This window comes from Homo sapiens, chromosome 11 (genome assembly GCF_000001405.40).
Source record: "Homo sapiens chromosome 11, GRCh38.p14 Primary Assembly".
NCBI classification, from domain to species: domain Eukaryota; kingdom Metazoa; phylum Chordata; class Mammalia; order Primates; family Hominidae; genus Homo; species Homo sapiens.
The window spans coordinates 32067725-32082217 of record NC_000011.10 but is presented as its reverse complement, the minus strand read 5'-3'; the positions used below and the strand labels follow the sequence as shown (position 1 = coordinate 32082217).

The following is a 14493-nucleotide window of genomic DNA, read 5'->3' as shown; positions in this document are numbered from 1 at the left end:
CAGATAAACAACAAATGAAAATCACCCCAAATCCTACCATTTGGAAATAACCACTTTCAGCATCTTGTGTATCAGACCTGACTCATTCATATGCAAATGTGTAAATATATGTTTTATGAAAATGGTATCATATTACATACATTGTTTTGCAACCTGCTTCCCATTCCCATTCCGCCTACAATTTATCAGTCTGTTGTGAACATTTCAAGTCAATATACATCTGCATCAGAATTCTTTTTTTTAAACAACCCAAACTGCATCTTCTCCTTCTTATTCTCCTGGAAGAGAACAGTCATCAGTGGCAAATGGCTGCTGTAGTCATGAAACACCAAGAGCCAGCTTCAGGCTCTAGGGAGAATGTTGTGCCTCCTCCTTATGGTGTCATGTGTTCTACATGTTCAGATAGACTTCTTTAGTAATGAACTATAGAAATGATCCCTGAAAGTATAGTCTTTATACCAGCTTTCTTAATTGCTGCAAGGTATTGCAGCATTCCTCAATTGCTGGATGTTTAAACCGCATTTATTACCAGATATCCATTGACATACTAATCCTTTGTAATGAGCAACCTCAATAATTTCATTGGCGTGCAAGAATAAACTGTGTTGTTTACAAGTGTGCAGGGTCTTAGCTGACCTGGGCTCAGCTTAGCTTATCTCTGCTGGGCTGGGCTCGCTCATGCCTCTGCAGTCAGCTGCTGTTGGCTGGGCAGTCTTCCTTGTTTTGACTGTGCTCACTTACAAGCTTGGGACTGGTTGGCTATTGGCTTTGCTAGGATGGCCACAGCTGGGATAACTAGGACAATTTGGCTGTCCCAGGGGAGTTATACTCCAGGAGGCTAGCCCAGGCATGTGCTTATGGCCACTCAGCCAGCAAGGCCTAAGCAGAAAAGTGCAAGTGCTTTTGTAAAGATCTGCTGTGTCACATCTGCTCACATCCTGTTGGCCAAAGCAAGCCATGTGCCAGTGACAGAGTGGACTTATGGGGCAAACAATGTGAACACAGGGAGGGGTGGAGAATGATGTATTAGTCACGGTTCTCTGGAGGGACAGAACTAATAAGATAGATGTATACATGAAAGGGAGTTTATTAAGGAGTATTGACTCACACGATCACAAGGTGAAGTCCCACAATAGGCCATCTTCAAGCTGAGGAGCAAGGAAGCCAGTCTGAGTCCCCAAACCTCAAAAGTAGGGAAGCCTACAGTGTAGCCTTCAGTCAGTGACTGAAGGCCTGAGAGCCCCTGGCAAACCACTGGTGTAGGTCCAAGAGTCCAAATGCTACAGAACTTGGAGTTTGGTGTTCAAGGGCAGAAAGCATCCAGCACAGGAAAAAGATGAAGGCCAGGAGACTCAGCAAGTCTAGTCCTTCCATGTTCTTCTGCCTGCTTTTATTCCAGCAGCTTTTCCTCCCAGACAAAAGGATGAGTTGGATTTCCCCAGGGGAAGGCATTTAGCTGAGATTGGAAGTGAAAGAAAGTAGAATATGTCATCCCAAAAGATGCTTCTTTGACATAAATATTTTTGAGCAAAAGGCAATTAAGAAGCAGCAAACAGAGGGAAAGCTCTTTCTATCCTCCCCTGCTTTTTCTTCCAAAGACAGGATATAAATTCTTCTTTACTGGGAACAGCTGTTGTTCACTCAGATATGGCACAGGAGTAATCTGCAAACAAACCTTACTCAATGACTTTACTCCCATATATTTGCCTTCCCACAGTTTCCCACCTCTGGAAACCTACAACTGCTTTCCTTTGTCTTGTCACTTCTCTAAAATTTATTGTTCTTTGTTGAAGATACCATATAAGCCAGAGTTCGAAGCCACTGCTTGGAGTTACCTTTGCGAACAGAAAATTTCAGGACCTTCAAAATTGATTATGCCAAAGGGAAAAGTTAAGCCTTGAAAACGGAGTCATATAACATGCTTGTTTTTCTTCTCTGATGCATGGCTGTTTCTTCCTGACTTTTGTGTTGAGAGTTATATTTTACTAGGTTTTCTGTTCTTCATTCAAACCTAGACTAAATGACAGAGACCCTTGTGACTGTTACCTCTTCTCAACAGAATATTAAGCAAACTCCTTAAAATGTAATTAAGAGTAGCCAGTCAATCTTATATCTCTGTGTTAGCCTTTGGATGGAAAATGTTGTAATTCTGTTCAGCGCCTCCAGTTTTGTCGGTATAAATGATCTTCACTTTTCCCTACACCGAGAACAGCAGTCACTATTCTTTGCTGTCCATGTGTCCTGGGATGGCCACCCTCACACTTTTTACTTAAATCAATTCATTTGAACTGGATCCTGAGCCTTGTGGTTACGTTAGGTTGACACCTTTTATTGAAGTTTCTCCCATGTGATGTGCACTGCACATGTTAATAAACTTGCTTGTTTTTCCCTTGTTAATCTGTTGCTAACAGGAGTCTGTCCCAAGTACGAATTTATGAGGGTTAAAGAGAGATTAAATTTCCTCCCAGACAGATGGATGAATTGGATTTCCCTAGGAGAAAGCATTCCTCGGGCAGGGCGAGTGTGTGCAAGGACTGTGATAGAAGAAAGCAGGTGCAGACAAGGATGTGAAGACTGCTGCAGCTGCAGTGGAGAGAGTCCAGAGAAGCAGGAGTGAGATCACCTGGAGAGGTATAAGGTGGGGGTCACTAGACATGCCTCCCTAGCAGTGCCTACACCCTTCTTCCTTCCAACAGAATCCCTCTTTTGTTCAGGAATCCATACATCCACTAACACAGCTTTCTGCATCAGGGGATGCTAACTTCACTCTCAGTTCCAGGTAGTAATCCCTCTCCCAGTTTATTAGTCCATTTTCACCTGCTGATAAAGACATACCTGGGTCTGGGTAATTTATAAAGAAAAAGAGGTTTAATGGACTCACAGTTTCACGTGGCTGAGGAGGCCTCACAATCATGGTGGAAGAGGAAGGGACATCTTACATGGTGGCAGGCAAGAGAAGAGCTTGTGCAGGGGAACTCACTTTTATAAAACCATCGGATCTCATGAGATTTATTCACTATCATGAGAACAGCATGGGAAAGACCCACCCTCATGATTCAATTACCTCACACCAGGTCCTTGCCACGACGTGTGGGAATTGTGAGAGCTATAATTCAAGATAAGATTTGGGTGGGGACACAGCCAAACCATATCACGCAGTAATTGGTTTAGTTATAAGGGTGGGCCCCAATTCTGGCAAAAGAGCAATTAAGGAAAGTTTCACAGGGGACTTCCAAAAACAGCTTCCTCACTCTCAAGAACAAGCCACAAGAAAAGATGGCCCCATGTGTTCCCCTGAGTGTTGTGAAATCTGGATGTGAAGCCTGGGCCTGCTGCAGCTATCTTCCCCTCTCAGGAAGAAGCCAGCACTGAGGATGGCAGAATAGCGATGTGGAAAGAATCTTTCTCCCTGATAAAGGTTGGGTTGCTGAATCAATCTGCCCTAAAGGCCACCCTACCTCAGGACTTCTGTTCTATGAGATATTAGAATTCCTTATTGTTCAAGCAAGATTGAGTTTGAGTTCCTGTTACTTGCGTCAAAATGCTGTAAGAGGATAGACTGTGTTCCTGATATGGTTTGGCTGTGTCCTCACCCAAATCTCATCTTGAATTGTAGCTCCCATAATTCCCACATGTTGTGGGAGGGACCGGGTGGGAGATAATTGAATCACGGGAACCGTTTCTCCCATACTGTTCTTGTGGTAGTGAGTGAGTCTCACGAGATCTGATAGTTTTATAAGGGGAAACCCCTTTTGCTTGGCTCTCATTCTCTCTCTTGCCTGCTGCCATGTGAGATGTGCCTTTCGCCTTCCACCATGATTGTGAGGCCTCCCCAGCCATGTGGAACTGTAAGCCCATTAAACCTCTTTTTCCTTATAAGTTACCCAGTCTTGGGTATGTCTTTATCAGCAGTATGAAAACGGACTAATACAGTTTCCTATGTATATTGTAAGCTATGCTAAGGGTTTTTTTTTTTTTTTTTTTTTTGTTGTTGTTGTTGTTGTTGTTGTTGTTTTGCTTTTACCCCAAAACCAATGAAAAGTCATGAGAGAGTTTTAAACAGAGGACATAATTCACATTTGCACTCATGCCGCTGTGTGGAGAGCAGGTTCTAGGGGGCAAGAGTGGATGAAGGGAGACCTGTTAGCAGACCTTTCCTTCAGGAAGAGAATATGGAGTATCTGCCTTGGGCCCCACACTTGAGGTGAGAGGCTGCAAAATGAATATCTTTTTAATGAACCATCATTAAAATTCAATTTTGAGTGTCAGTTTTTAACAGTATCTTCTGGAGCCAATAAAAGATGCCAGTGCCAGTACAGAGTGGCTCCCTTTTAAGGGTCAGTACTTTGGATAAACTCTGCACTGACTTGAGTTGCTATGGGTCCCATTTTCTTCTAGGGATAGCCCCAGAGGGTGGCCTGGATAGAGGGTGATGGCAGTGGAGGTGGGGAAGAGTGGCAGAAACATTTTAGAAGTAATATTTTGGTGATAGAATGAATAGATTCAATCAGAGAGAGAGAGAGAGAGAGAGATGACCCTCAAGTTTCTGTGTAACTGGAGGCAGTGAAGGTGCCATTAGGTGAAATGAAGAAATGTGGAAGGGGCTTATTTTGGGGCAGGGGTTGATTCTGAGTTTAGTTGAACATGTTAATATACCTTTGTAATATTCAAGAAGAGGTTTCTAGAAGGTGGGATATGATACTCAGTTTCTAGAAGGTGGGATATGATACTCAGAGGACAGATTTGGGTTGGAGTGAATAATACTTTAGTCATGCCCATTTTAGGAATTAATTGAAATCATGGACCTCCATGTGAAAGGGCTTTGGGAGAGAAGAGGCTTGGGAGAGAAGAGGCTTGGAAGAGAAGAAACCTAGGACCAGGCCTGGAGGACTGGGCAGAGGTAGATGGGGCCTGCAAAGACCACTGAGAGGTTTTTGTCAGAGAGGTAGAAAGGGAACAGAAAAGTGGCTTGTTATGGGAGCAAGCGGTCAGAGTATTTCAAAAATCAGAAAATTTACTGAGGTGCTGATAATTGTTGAAGAGTCAAAGGAGAAGTGTGATAGTCTCCAAAGATGGCCCCAGGGAAGTATGCTTCCTGAAATTCATATCTTCGTGTAGTGCCCCCAACACTGAATGAATGGGGGTGGGGCCCGTTCAATCACTAGACTGAAGCAGAGGGGATGCTACGCGACTATCAAGGTCACAGAAATCCTTGCAACATCCATCTTGGTCTCTTGAAATACTTTCTCAGTGAGACGCCAGCCCCCATGTAAGAGGTCTCTTTACCCATAAACCCCCATGCTGTGAGGAAGCCCAAACTACCACGTGAAGGTACTCTATGGAAGGGGAAGGAGAGAGAGGGAGAGATCCCAGTCCCCAGTTGTTCCTGAGATCCAACCTGGATAGCAGCCATGTGAAGAAAGAAGCCATCTAGGATGTGAAGCCTTCAGATGACGCCAGCTCCTTAAGAGGCCCCAAGTGAGAACTGCTCAGCTGATTCCAGTCAATCCATGGAACTATGAGAGATACAGATAAATTCCCGCCTTAAGCTATTGAATTCTATAACTGGAATAAGATGGGAATTGATCAAATAAATATCTGTTTGATTTGAAAGAATGGAGGTCATTACTGTTTCTGGGTGTGACAGGAGCAGAAGCCAGATCTGACTGGGTTGAAGAGAGGGTGAAAGCTGAAGAAATTAAGAAAGCAAACGTGGTGGCTTTCTGGAGACTCCTTCAGCTATGGATGGGGAGGAGGAAAGTTGGTAGCTGGAAGAGGATGTGAGGATGAGGGACAGATTTTCTGAAAGTGGTCTCCATCATGTAAGTATGTTTAAAAGTACTGCCTATGAAGTACTCTTGATTTAAAAAAAAAAAAAAAGACAAATATGGGGGAATATGGGAGATAGAGACACAAGTTATCAGCACTTTAACAATGTGATCAGCTAAGTCAAGAGTGTGGGACACTCTATGTAACAAATGGCCCAAGAAATCAATGGCATTTAAAAAATATAAAGGCAGGGAGACTATTAGAGGACAAAAACAACTTAAGAGACAAAACAATGAGATACAGTATGAGAACCTTGTCTGGATCTTGATTTGAACAACCCAACTATAAAAAGACATCCTGGAGACAATTGGGAAAATAAAATATGGACTGAGAATTAGGTGATATTAAGGAATCACAGTTATTTAGCTGTGATAACGGCCTGGAGGTTATGTTTTATAAAATTGGCCCTTATCAATTAGAGACGCATAATGTGATGGCCCAATACACGGAATTTTCTTTAAAATATGGCCAGGTGCAGTGGCTTAAGCCTGTAATCCCAGCACTTTGGGAGGTGGAGGCAGGTGCATCACCTGAGGTCAGGAGTTCAAGACCAGCCTGGCCAATGTGGGAAATCCCATCTCTACTAAAAATACAAAAATTAGCTGGGTATGGTGGTGCATGCCTGTAATCCCAGCTTCTTGGGAGGCTGAGGCAGGAGAATCTTAGAGCCTGGGAGACAGAGTTTGCAGTGAGCCAAGATTGTGCCACTGCACTCCCGCCTGTGCAACACAGCAAAAACTCTGTCTCCAGAATAAAATAAAATAAATAAAATATATACATTGATAAAATGGTGACAATTGTTGAGGCTTGCTGATGGGTAAGTAGGAGTTCATTATACTAGTTTCTCTGTTTTTGAATGTATTTGAAAATTTTTATAATTTATAAGAAAAAGTTTAAAATTTTTTATAAGTTTTTAAAACTATATTGAAACACATTATTATTATTATTATTATTATTATTATTATTATTATCATTATTATTAAAAAAGGATTTAAAGGTAACAATCAGGTTAACATTCACTTGTGGTAGCCAGGTATATAGTATGTGTTCATTGATGTAATGATTCTCCTCCTGGGATATTGGAGAGAATACTCACACTAATTGTCACTAATGATACTCTACGAAGCCAAAAAGAGCCAAGGGGAAGGATTGATTGAAAGGAGGTGGATGAACACCCGAAAAGCAGGAGGCATGTTGATAGTGTAAGGTTCCGAGAAGGAGTTGGGGTGGGATCCTGAGTCAAGGTGAAGGAAGGGGCCCATGGAGACAGGGGTACATGTGTTGGTGTCTGAAAGAGGAGAGACATCTTAGAGACATCTCTAAATCTCCGATAATTAGAAGTGAGGTCAAATGCAAGAAGGGTGGGGGATCGGCAATTAGAAAATTGGAGTTTGAAGAGATTTGACAAAGTTATTGAGGGGGATGGGGAGTGTGTTTACTGGAGGAACACAGTAGAATTGCAAGGAAGTTTACAATATTAGCAAGATTTGTTATTGAAACAATGGACCACGGACCTTAAGCTGGATATGTTGAGAACAATTGAAGGAAAATGCCCATGGACTAAGAGGAAAAAGAGGTGTTGTTAGTGTGGCTACCCTGATGATGTTGAAGAATAGAACTACCTCCAGCTGGGTGGGGCATGTTGGCTCACGCCTGTAATCCCAGCACTTTGGGGGGCAGAGGTGGGCGGATAACCTGAGGTCGGGAGCTCGAGACCAGCCTGACCAACATGGAGAAACCCCGTCTCTACTAAAAATACAAAATTAGCTGGGTGTGGTGGCACATGCCTGTAATCCCAGCTACTTGGGAGGCTGAGGCAGGAGAATTGCTTAAACCCGGAGGCAGAGGTTGCGGTGAGCCGAGATCGCACCATTGCACTCCAGCCTGGGCAACAAGAGCAAAACTCCATCTCAAAAAAAAAAAAAAAAAGAAGAACTACCTCCAGAGATTTGGACTTGGAAAGTGTGGAATGGGTGTCATGCATCTGTGTGTTTAATAAGGAGTTCAGTTGATACTAATGCAGGTGCACGTGGTTCTTAGATCATACCTTGAGAAACACTGCCCTGGTGGTTGGATGGACGGTGAAGCCGGCTTGAGGCTGGAGGCCTGTCATTTGCAATGGGAAGTATGCAGGACAGACAAGAGAACATGGATCTATTTGTTATTTTTGGTGGCTCTGTAGCTTTCTTGGCCTGATGGATTGCAATTTGGGGGCCCAATTTGTCCAAATGGGCACCTTTCCCAGGGTCCTGGGTGGGCTCAAGCACAAAGGTAGGTGGCCCTGAAAGGAACCCCATCTGTGTTCTTCCTAGGGACTTCTCATTCAAGGACTTTAACCACTGGGGGTTTTGTAGTTTGTTGTTTGTTTTTGCAATTTTTGATTCTAGAAATAAAATTGAGCTTTCAAAATCAACCAACCAACCAACACTGTTGAGGTTGGCATATTTGGGCTAATTGTTTTCCTTTTCATTTAGACTTATTACCCACTGCGTGTGAGGTAGCACTTTCAAGTAAATCTTTGGTAATTCCCAGGAATAAAGCAATTGCCTTCATTTCCCAGCAGGGCATACTAAAGTGGGCTCATTTGCAGAGAGAACAGGAATAGCAGTTTTTATAGCTTAAGGCCTGGAAGAAACTGCTTTTTTTCTGACAATCATAATCCACTCATGCTTTAAAAACATGTTTCAAAATCAAAAGGACTCCAAGAGTCTGGGATATGCTAGAAGGATATATTAAGACATAGCTCGTTTGTCAATTTATCTCTAATCTAGATAAATTTACCTCCTATTTCTCCTCTCTTGCAGCTTCCTCAGCCACAGACCCGATGAGTTGCCTGGATGTCAAAGAATTAAGCCTGCCTTGAATTAGCAGAAGCAACAGGAATCCAGAGGGAATTGACTTTTTTTTCTTTTTTTCCCTGGTCTCCACTGTGATTCTCTGATTCAAATTTGCGGTGGCAGAATGAAAGGAAGGGGGGTGCTCCTGGAGGGAAGCACTGCCCCAGCAGAGGCCCTGAGGGGAGCAGGTCACGTGGCCGATGTCCCGAAGGCCTGACTGAAGCAGAGCAGAAGCAAGGCTGGCTGGGTGTGGGGGGTGCTGAGCAGAGGGGCTTTGAGTGGTGTCTGGGGAAATCCTGAGCCATTTAAATGAACCATTTAAATCTGACAGACAAATTGGTGTTTTAAGAAGATTTACCAGGCAGTGATGTGCAGGATGAGGTGGGGGTGGAGCCGAGGCGGGGTTGGGGGGGGTGCGATGTTAACAGGGGTAGGAGGAGAATGAAGCTGGGAGAATAAAGATTCTGCTTTGAGTCAACAAACACTTACTAAGCACCTACTGTGTACCTTGCCTTGCACCAGGCACCACCTTCAGGCATGCGCCCTCTCAGTGAATAGAATCAGCATCTGCCCTTTCAGCTAAGCCAGAACCTAGTTTCCTTGGTGATGCCTTCCTCTCCCTTTTCTCCGCAATGGATGGAGTCCTCCTGTAATGCCACCTCTTACCTCCGCCTCTTCTCTCCTTCAAGCCACTGACATCTTTCACTGGATCCCAAGCCTCCAGTCTGCCCTCTGTAACTCCTCCACCTGGAAGTTATTGGGGTGGGCTGGTGGGGGTGGCCTAAAACATATGGAGGCAGGCCATCATCCCAACAGGTACCCTTCAGTGGGCTCCCCACTGTCCTCAGGTAGAAGTCCAAACTCTTTAACAGAACCTGGAGGCCCTTGATATCTGGGTACTTAGCTCTCCTTTGTTTTCAGGGCTCTTGCCCTGAATCTCGCCCTACCTTGAATCTTGTGACTCGGCCGTGCAAAAATGCTTCCAGTACCTCCTCTGAAGGGTCACATTCTCTGTCCTCTTCCCTGTGGTGATAATATCCTCCTTTGTACTCCTACCCACTGACTTATTCTTCAGAATCCATTTAGAGACCCCTTCCTCCCACAATTCTTCCTGGTCCGCAGGTCCTTCCCAGTGTCTTCAGGAACTGTCTCTGACGCTCTCCTGGGGCTTATGACATCATATTTTCACTGACCATTCTCCTCTACATTTGAGCTTCCAGAAGGCAGGGACTGCCTCTTCCTTCTCACTCAGCACCCTCCTGACACATAAAATGTACTTAGTAAATATTCATCAAATGTGAATGAATGACTTTACCAGAATCTGGGGTGGGGGCAGGCGAGAGGTGTTGGTCCCAATTTACAGATAAAGAAACTGAGCTTCAGAGAGTGATTTAATCATTTGTTCAAGGCCTCTCAGCTTCAAAGCTCAGAATCCACTTCAGGGTGCTGATTTCCCGACCAGGGCTTTTTCCTCCTCTTTGCAGCCACAGGAATGGAGGTCATTAAAGAAAAGAGTCCTGCACAGTGAATTCCGGTCTGACTGGTCATTCAGCAAGCTTCCAGTAGGGGCCACTGAGGGAATGAATGCAACAATAGGTGAAGAGCCTTTGATATATTAGGAAGGGATTTCATAAACTGGAGTATTATTCGGGTTAGAGATTGGAAGGGCTAGGAGTCCAAATGAACCGTTTTCCAACATAATTTGAACATTTATTTCACTATGTATTATTCAATACACAAGCCCTCTCTGTTTCTGAAAGCTGAAAGATCTGGTTGCATGTGTTCATTACTCTTTTTTTTTCTTCACTCCAATAAATGCTCTTTGCCTACCTTTTTTATTTATTTATTTTTTGATTGACTGGAAGAACCACATTGCAGAATGATAGATATTGTTCATTTAACGCCAACATTTACTTCTCCCCTAAACTGGTGTTCTGTTTGTGATTGATCAGACTTCTCCCCCATTTAGCACCCATGTAAAACATTGCAAAAGATTGGGTCTGCAGCTCGGATAACATTTTTGCAGCCATCTATTCAAGCCACAGCAGGCATGCCGAGTGGCATGGAAGCTTTTAATGAAACGTCGCCGGATATTAGGGTTTTATGGGCTGGAAAACAGTACAAATCAAAGCACTTTGCTTACTGTTTATCTGTTTAGAACATTTTTATTTCCTAAACCTAGCAATGTTCATCTTTTTCATCCAGCATTTTGGTTTGTTTTTTTTACATATTGATTTTCCTGTTCACTGGCATGCCCTGATGAAGTCGGAGCACTCACATGTGCTGTCTATACAAGCATGGGGCAGGAACAGGAGCAGTGGGGTGCATTCTCTGCCCTGAGACCCCTTAACTCCAAGGACAGGAGAGAGCAGTGCTCACTGTATTTTTTAAAAAGAAAAACTTGTCTTTCCCCTGTGTGGTTTTCCCTTGAGCCATCAGGATAGCTAGGCCGATCATTTTAGTATCGTCCCAACCTTCACATAAAAATCCTACAGCAAAAGCTGTGTTCTCGCCTTACATTTTATAAGGAGATGTAATAGACAGGGTCCCAGCAGGAAACCAAATCCATCAGGTGGTTTACCCAGGGGTTGGCAAATATTTTCCATAAAAGGCCAGATAGTAAATATTTTTGGCTTTGCAGGTCACATACAATTTCAGTCGCAGGTATGTTTAGACATACCTAAACAGTGTGTGTGGCTCTGTTCCAGGAAAACTTTCTTTGCAAAAGGAGACTGGGAGGGTGGTATTTGGCTTGTGGGCTAAAGTTTGCTAACTCCTGATTTAAATTAAAAGACTTAAGGGACAACGTACAGATACCTGGTCAGGGTCAAAGGAACAAACACGGGATGCTGAGATGTCTAGAGACTAGAAGCAGAAGGAGCCTATTACTCCCTCAAAGGCTGATAGACGTGGTGTGACCAGCACCCAGAGGGAGTGGGTTCTGGGGAGGCACTAGGGCAAAGAGGATGCATGGAAGAAATACCCCAACCTCTTCCTCCTCCCTCCTTCAGATATCCTGCTGGTGCCTCCCGTTGTCTGACCCAGTCAGGGGCCAGCCAGCAAGGGGCTTGGTCCTCTGAGGCTTGCAGTCCTCAGAGGTCAGCATCTCGGAGCACAGAGCAGGTGGAGAACAGATCAGGGAGGAGGTGGGGTGAATGCAAAAGGAGGCAGAGCTGCGTGGAGATGTCTATTTGGGGACTAATTTCTTAGACCCACTCCTTTTTGAAGTGAAATTCAGTGTGACTGGCAGCATCCCCTGACCCTGGCCATGCACCATGACTTTATTCCAAAGAACTAACCGTCCCCCTCATGTGATGAGTATATGATCTAATTCGGGCCAATGAGACACAGGCACAGAACTTTGTGAGCTGTTGGGAAGGTTGATCTCTCCATCCAAGGTTTGAACTTTGGCAGCCAACTGAACACATGGTGGGGCCCTCACCAGGGAAGAGCCTGTGGTCAGTAAGTACAAGGGAAGGCAGAGTGTATGGGGGTGGGAGGAACCCCGGTCCTGATACTGTCTGTCCCTGAACCCCTGGATCAAGCTGTACCTGAAATAAACACCTCATTTCTCAATTATGTGAGGCAATGCATTTTCCCCATCTCATCACCATCTTTTTTTTATTTTTCTTTTCTTTTTTTTTTTTTTAACCAAGACCAGTTCTCAGTTCTCTTTTTCTGTCAACTGACGGGATCCTGCCTAAGAGAGAGAATCTAGATTTGTCTCTGGAGCCAAGGTCTGCCCATTCCACAGCTGTGTGAACTTCAGATGAGGTACATCTAATCACCAATGCATGCAAGAAGTAATGATTCTCCTGTGTGCATAAATATTTTCATGTGTGTATGCAGCTGCGTTCAAACAATGATATTTATTTCTAGCGTGTTCATTTCTGAGACACATAAAAAAATCTTTCTGAATATCTATGTGGTATGAACCTCATGTGTCACAAAGGTAATGGATAGGCATGGTGAGATAACCATAGCAACCCAGCAGGTTCTGCAAGATCACGTCATGTGAACACTGCAGCTCAGGGACACTGATGGTACCTGCCCAGGTCTATGTTGTTTGGGTGACTTTTCCTTCGCTTGAACAGAGGACTTCTTACCATGCCACACCTCCCATCAGTCAGTAATTCATTCCCCAAATGTTGAATTTTATGGACCAGTAAAATGTCCAAAATAAAGAACTGGAAGAAAGTTGTCAACTTTTTATTTTGCTAAGTGAGGACATTTAACAAAACAGAAAACAAACAACTCCCATCTATTCTCACCCTCACTTTGTGAAAGAAAAGACACTTTCACAGTCTGAAATTACAGATTAAAGAGAAGCCCTTAAACAGAACCCATTTATCTTTAAGAAAAATGCATGACTTCAGGGATGCTGTCTGTTTGGAAACTCGCACACAACTGGCACACCTGGATGAGGGGCACAGAGGGCCCAAATGCAGTTCTCACTCTGCTTGCCAAGACATGCCCCCTGCACGGGCTGTGTCCACTCAGATGAAGAAGTTTGCTTTTCATTACACAAAAGGTCTCCCTGCTTTCTAAGCCGTGTGCCGACAGGGCTGTGTTTGCAAGGGCAACCTTCTCTAATCTGCAAAACGCTTTCAGAGCTGGCAGCGGCCCTGCACTACATTGTTCTGCTTTAAAAAATTTCACGGGGGCTGTGCTTTGACCAGTGCCTGGCACTTAGTAGGTGCTCAATAAATATGTGCCTAATGGATGTTGAATGGCCGAAAGGAACTCCATCAAGGACCCATCCTGATCTGCAAGTTGACGTTAGGGGCCCCGGTGGTAGTGTGCAGTGAAGCTATGGGAGTCAACTTTGCGTAACTTTCTTATCTCATCAGTGTTCAAAGGGAAGGGAGTGGAGAGCAAGATAAGAGAAGCCCCTCCTGCTTCTTCGCTCCTTGAGGGGACCATAAGGAAACCAGCCTTGTGCTTGCTATGGCTTATTTAACACATTTAGCAGCTCAGGCAACTGATCCTTTGAAGGGTTAAATAATCTGCTCCAGGTCACCCAGTGGCAAAGTGAGATTTTGACTGCAAAGTCACAAATATGGCTGAGATTTGTGTAGTGTTACCCCAGGCTCTTGCAGTCAAGGAGTGCATCTGTGGACGTCTGCCCTGTGTCCCTAGGAAATTGCTCAGCTGTGGTGTTCGTGGTCAGTATCTCCCCATCTCGCTTTTCACCACCTCGCTCTCTGGCCACCCCTATCAGCTTCTTGCTCCCATCTGATCTGGAATCATGGAAAGCATGACTCAGAGAGGGTGTACTAGTTTCTTAGGGATACCGTAACAAATTCCCATGCACTTGGTAGCTTAAAACGATTCAAGTTTGTTCTCTCACAGTTCTGGAGGCCAGAAGTCCAACATGAGCTTCACTGGACTGAAATCGAGATGTCGGCATGGCTGTACCCTCCAGTGTTTAGGGGGAAATCTGTGCTTCTTCCAGCTTCTGGAGCTACATTCTTTGGCCTGTGGCCCCTTCCTCCATCTCCAAAGCTAACAGTGTGGCATCCTCAGATCTCTCTCTGCTTCCGTCATCACTGCACCTTCTGATGCAGTGAGCCCGATACCCTGCCTCTCCTTTTTTTAGGGACATGTGATGGCATTCAGGGCATCCAGATATGTCAGGATAACCCTTTTGTCTAAAATCCTTAATTTAACAATGTCTACAAAAACCTAACTGTGTAAAGTAACATTCACCACTTCCAGGTATTAGGACCTGTTATCTTTGGCCATTATTTAGCCTACTACAGAGGGTAAGTGACCTGCCCAAGGTCATGCAGCAAGTGTGGGGTTCAAACCCAGGCAGACTCCCTCC

At 44.3% G+C, this 14493-nt stretch overlaps 1 non-coding gene across 1 annotated transcript; it reads right to left on the bottom strand.

The window, feature by feature from the left end:
- Window positions 1–244: 244 nt before the first annotated feature.
- On the bottom strand, window positions 245–454 carry LOC124902847 (small nucleolar RNA U3). The gene has a single exon (XR_007063024.1). It is a non-coding gene; the product is annotated as a small nucleolar RNA U3 (small nucleolar RNA).
- Between the last annotated feature and the right edge of the window lie 14039 nt (window positions 455–14493).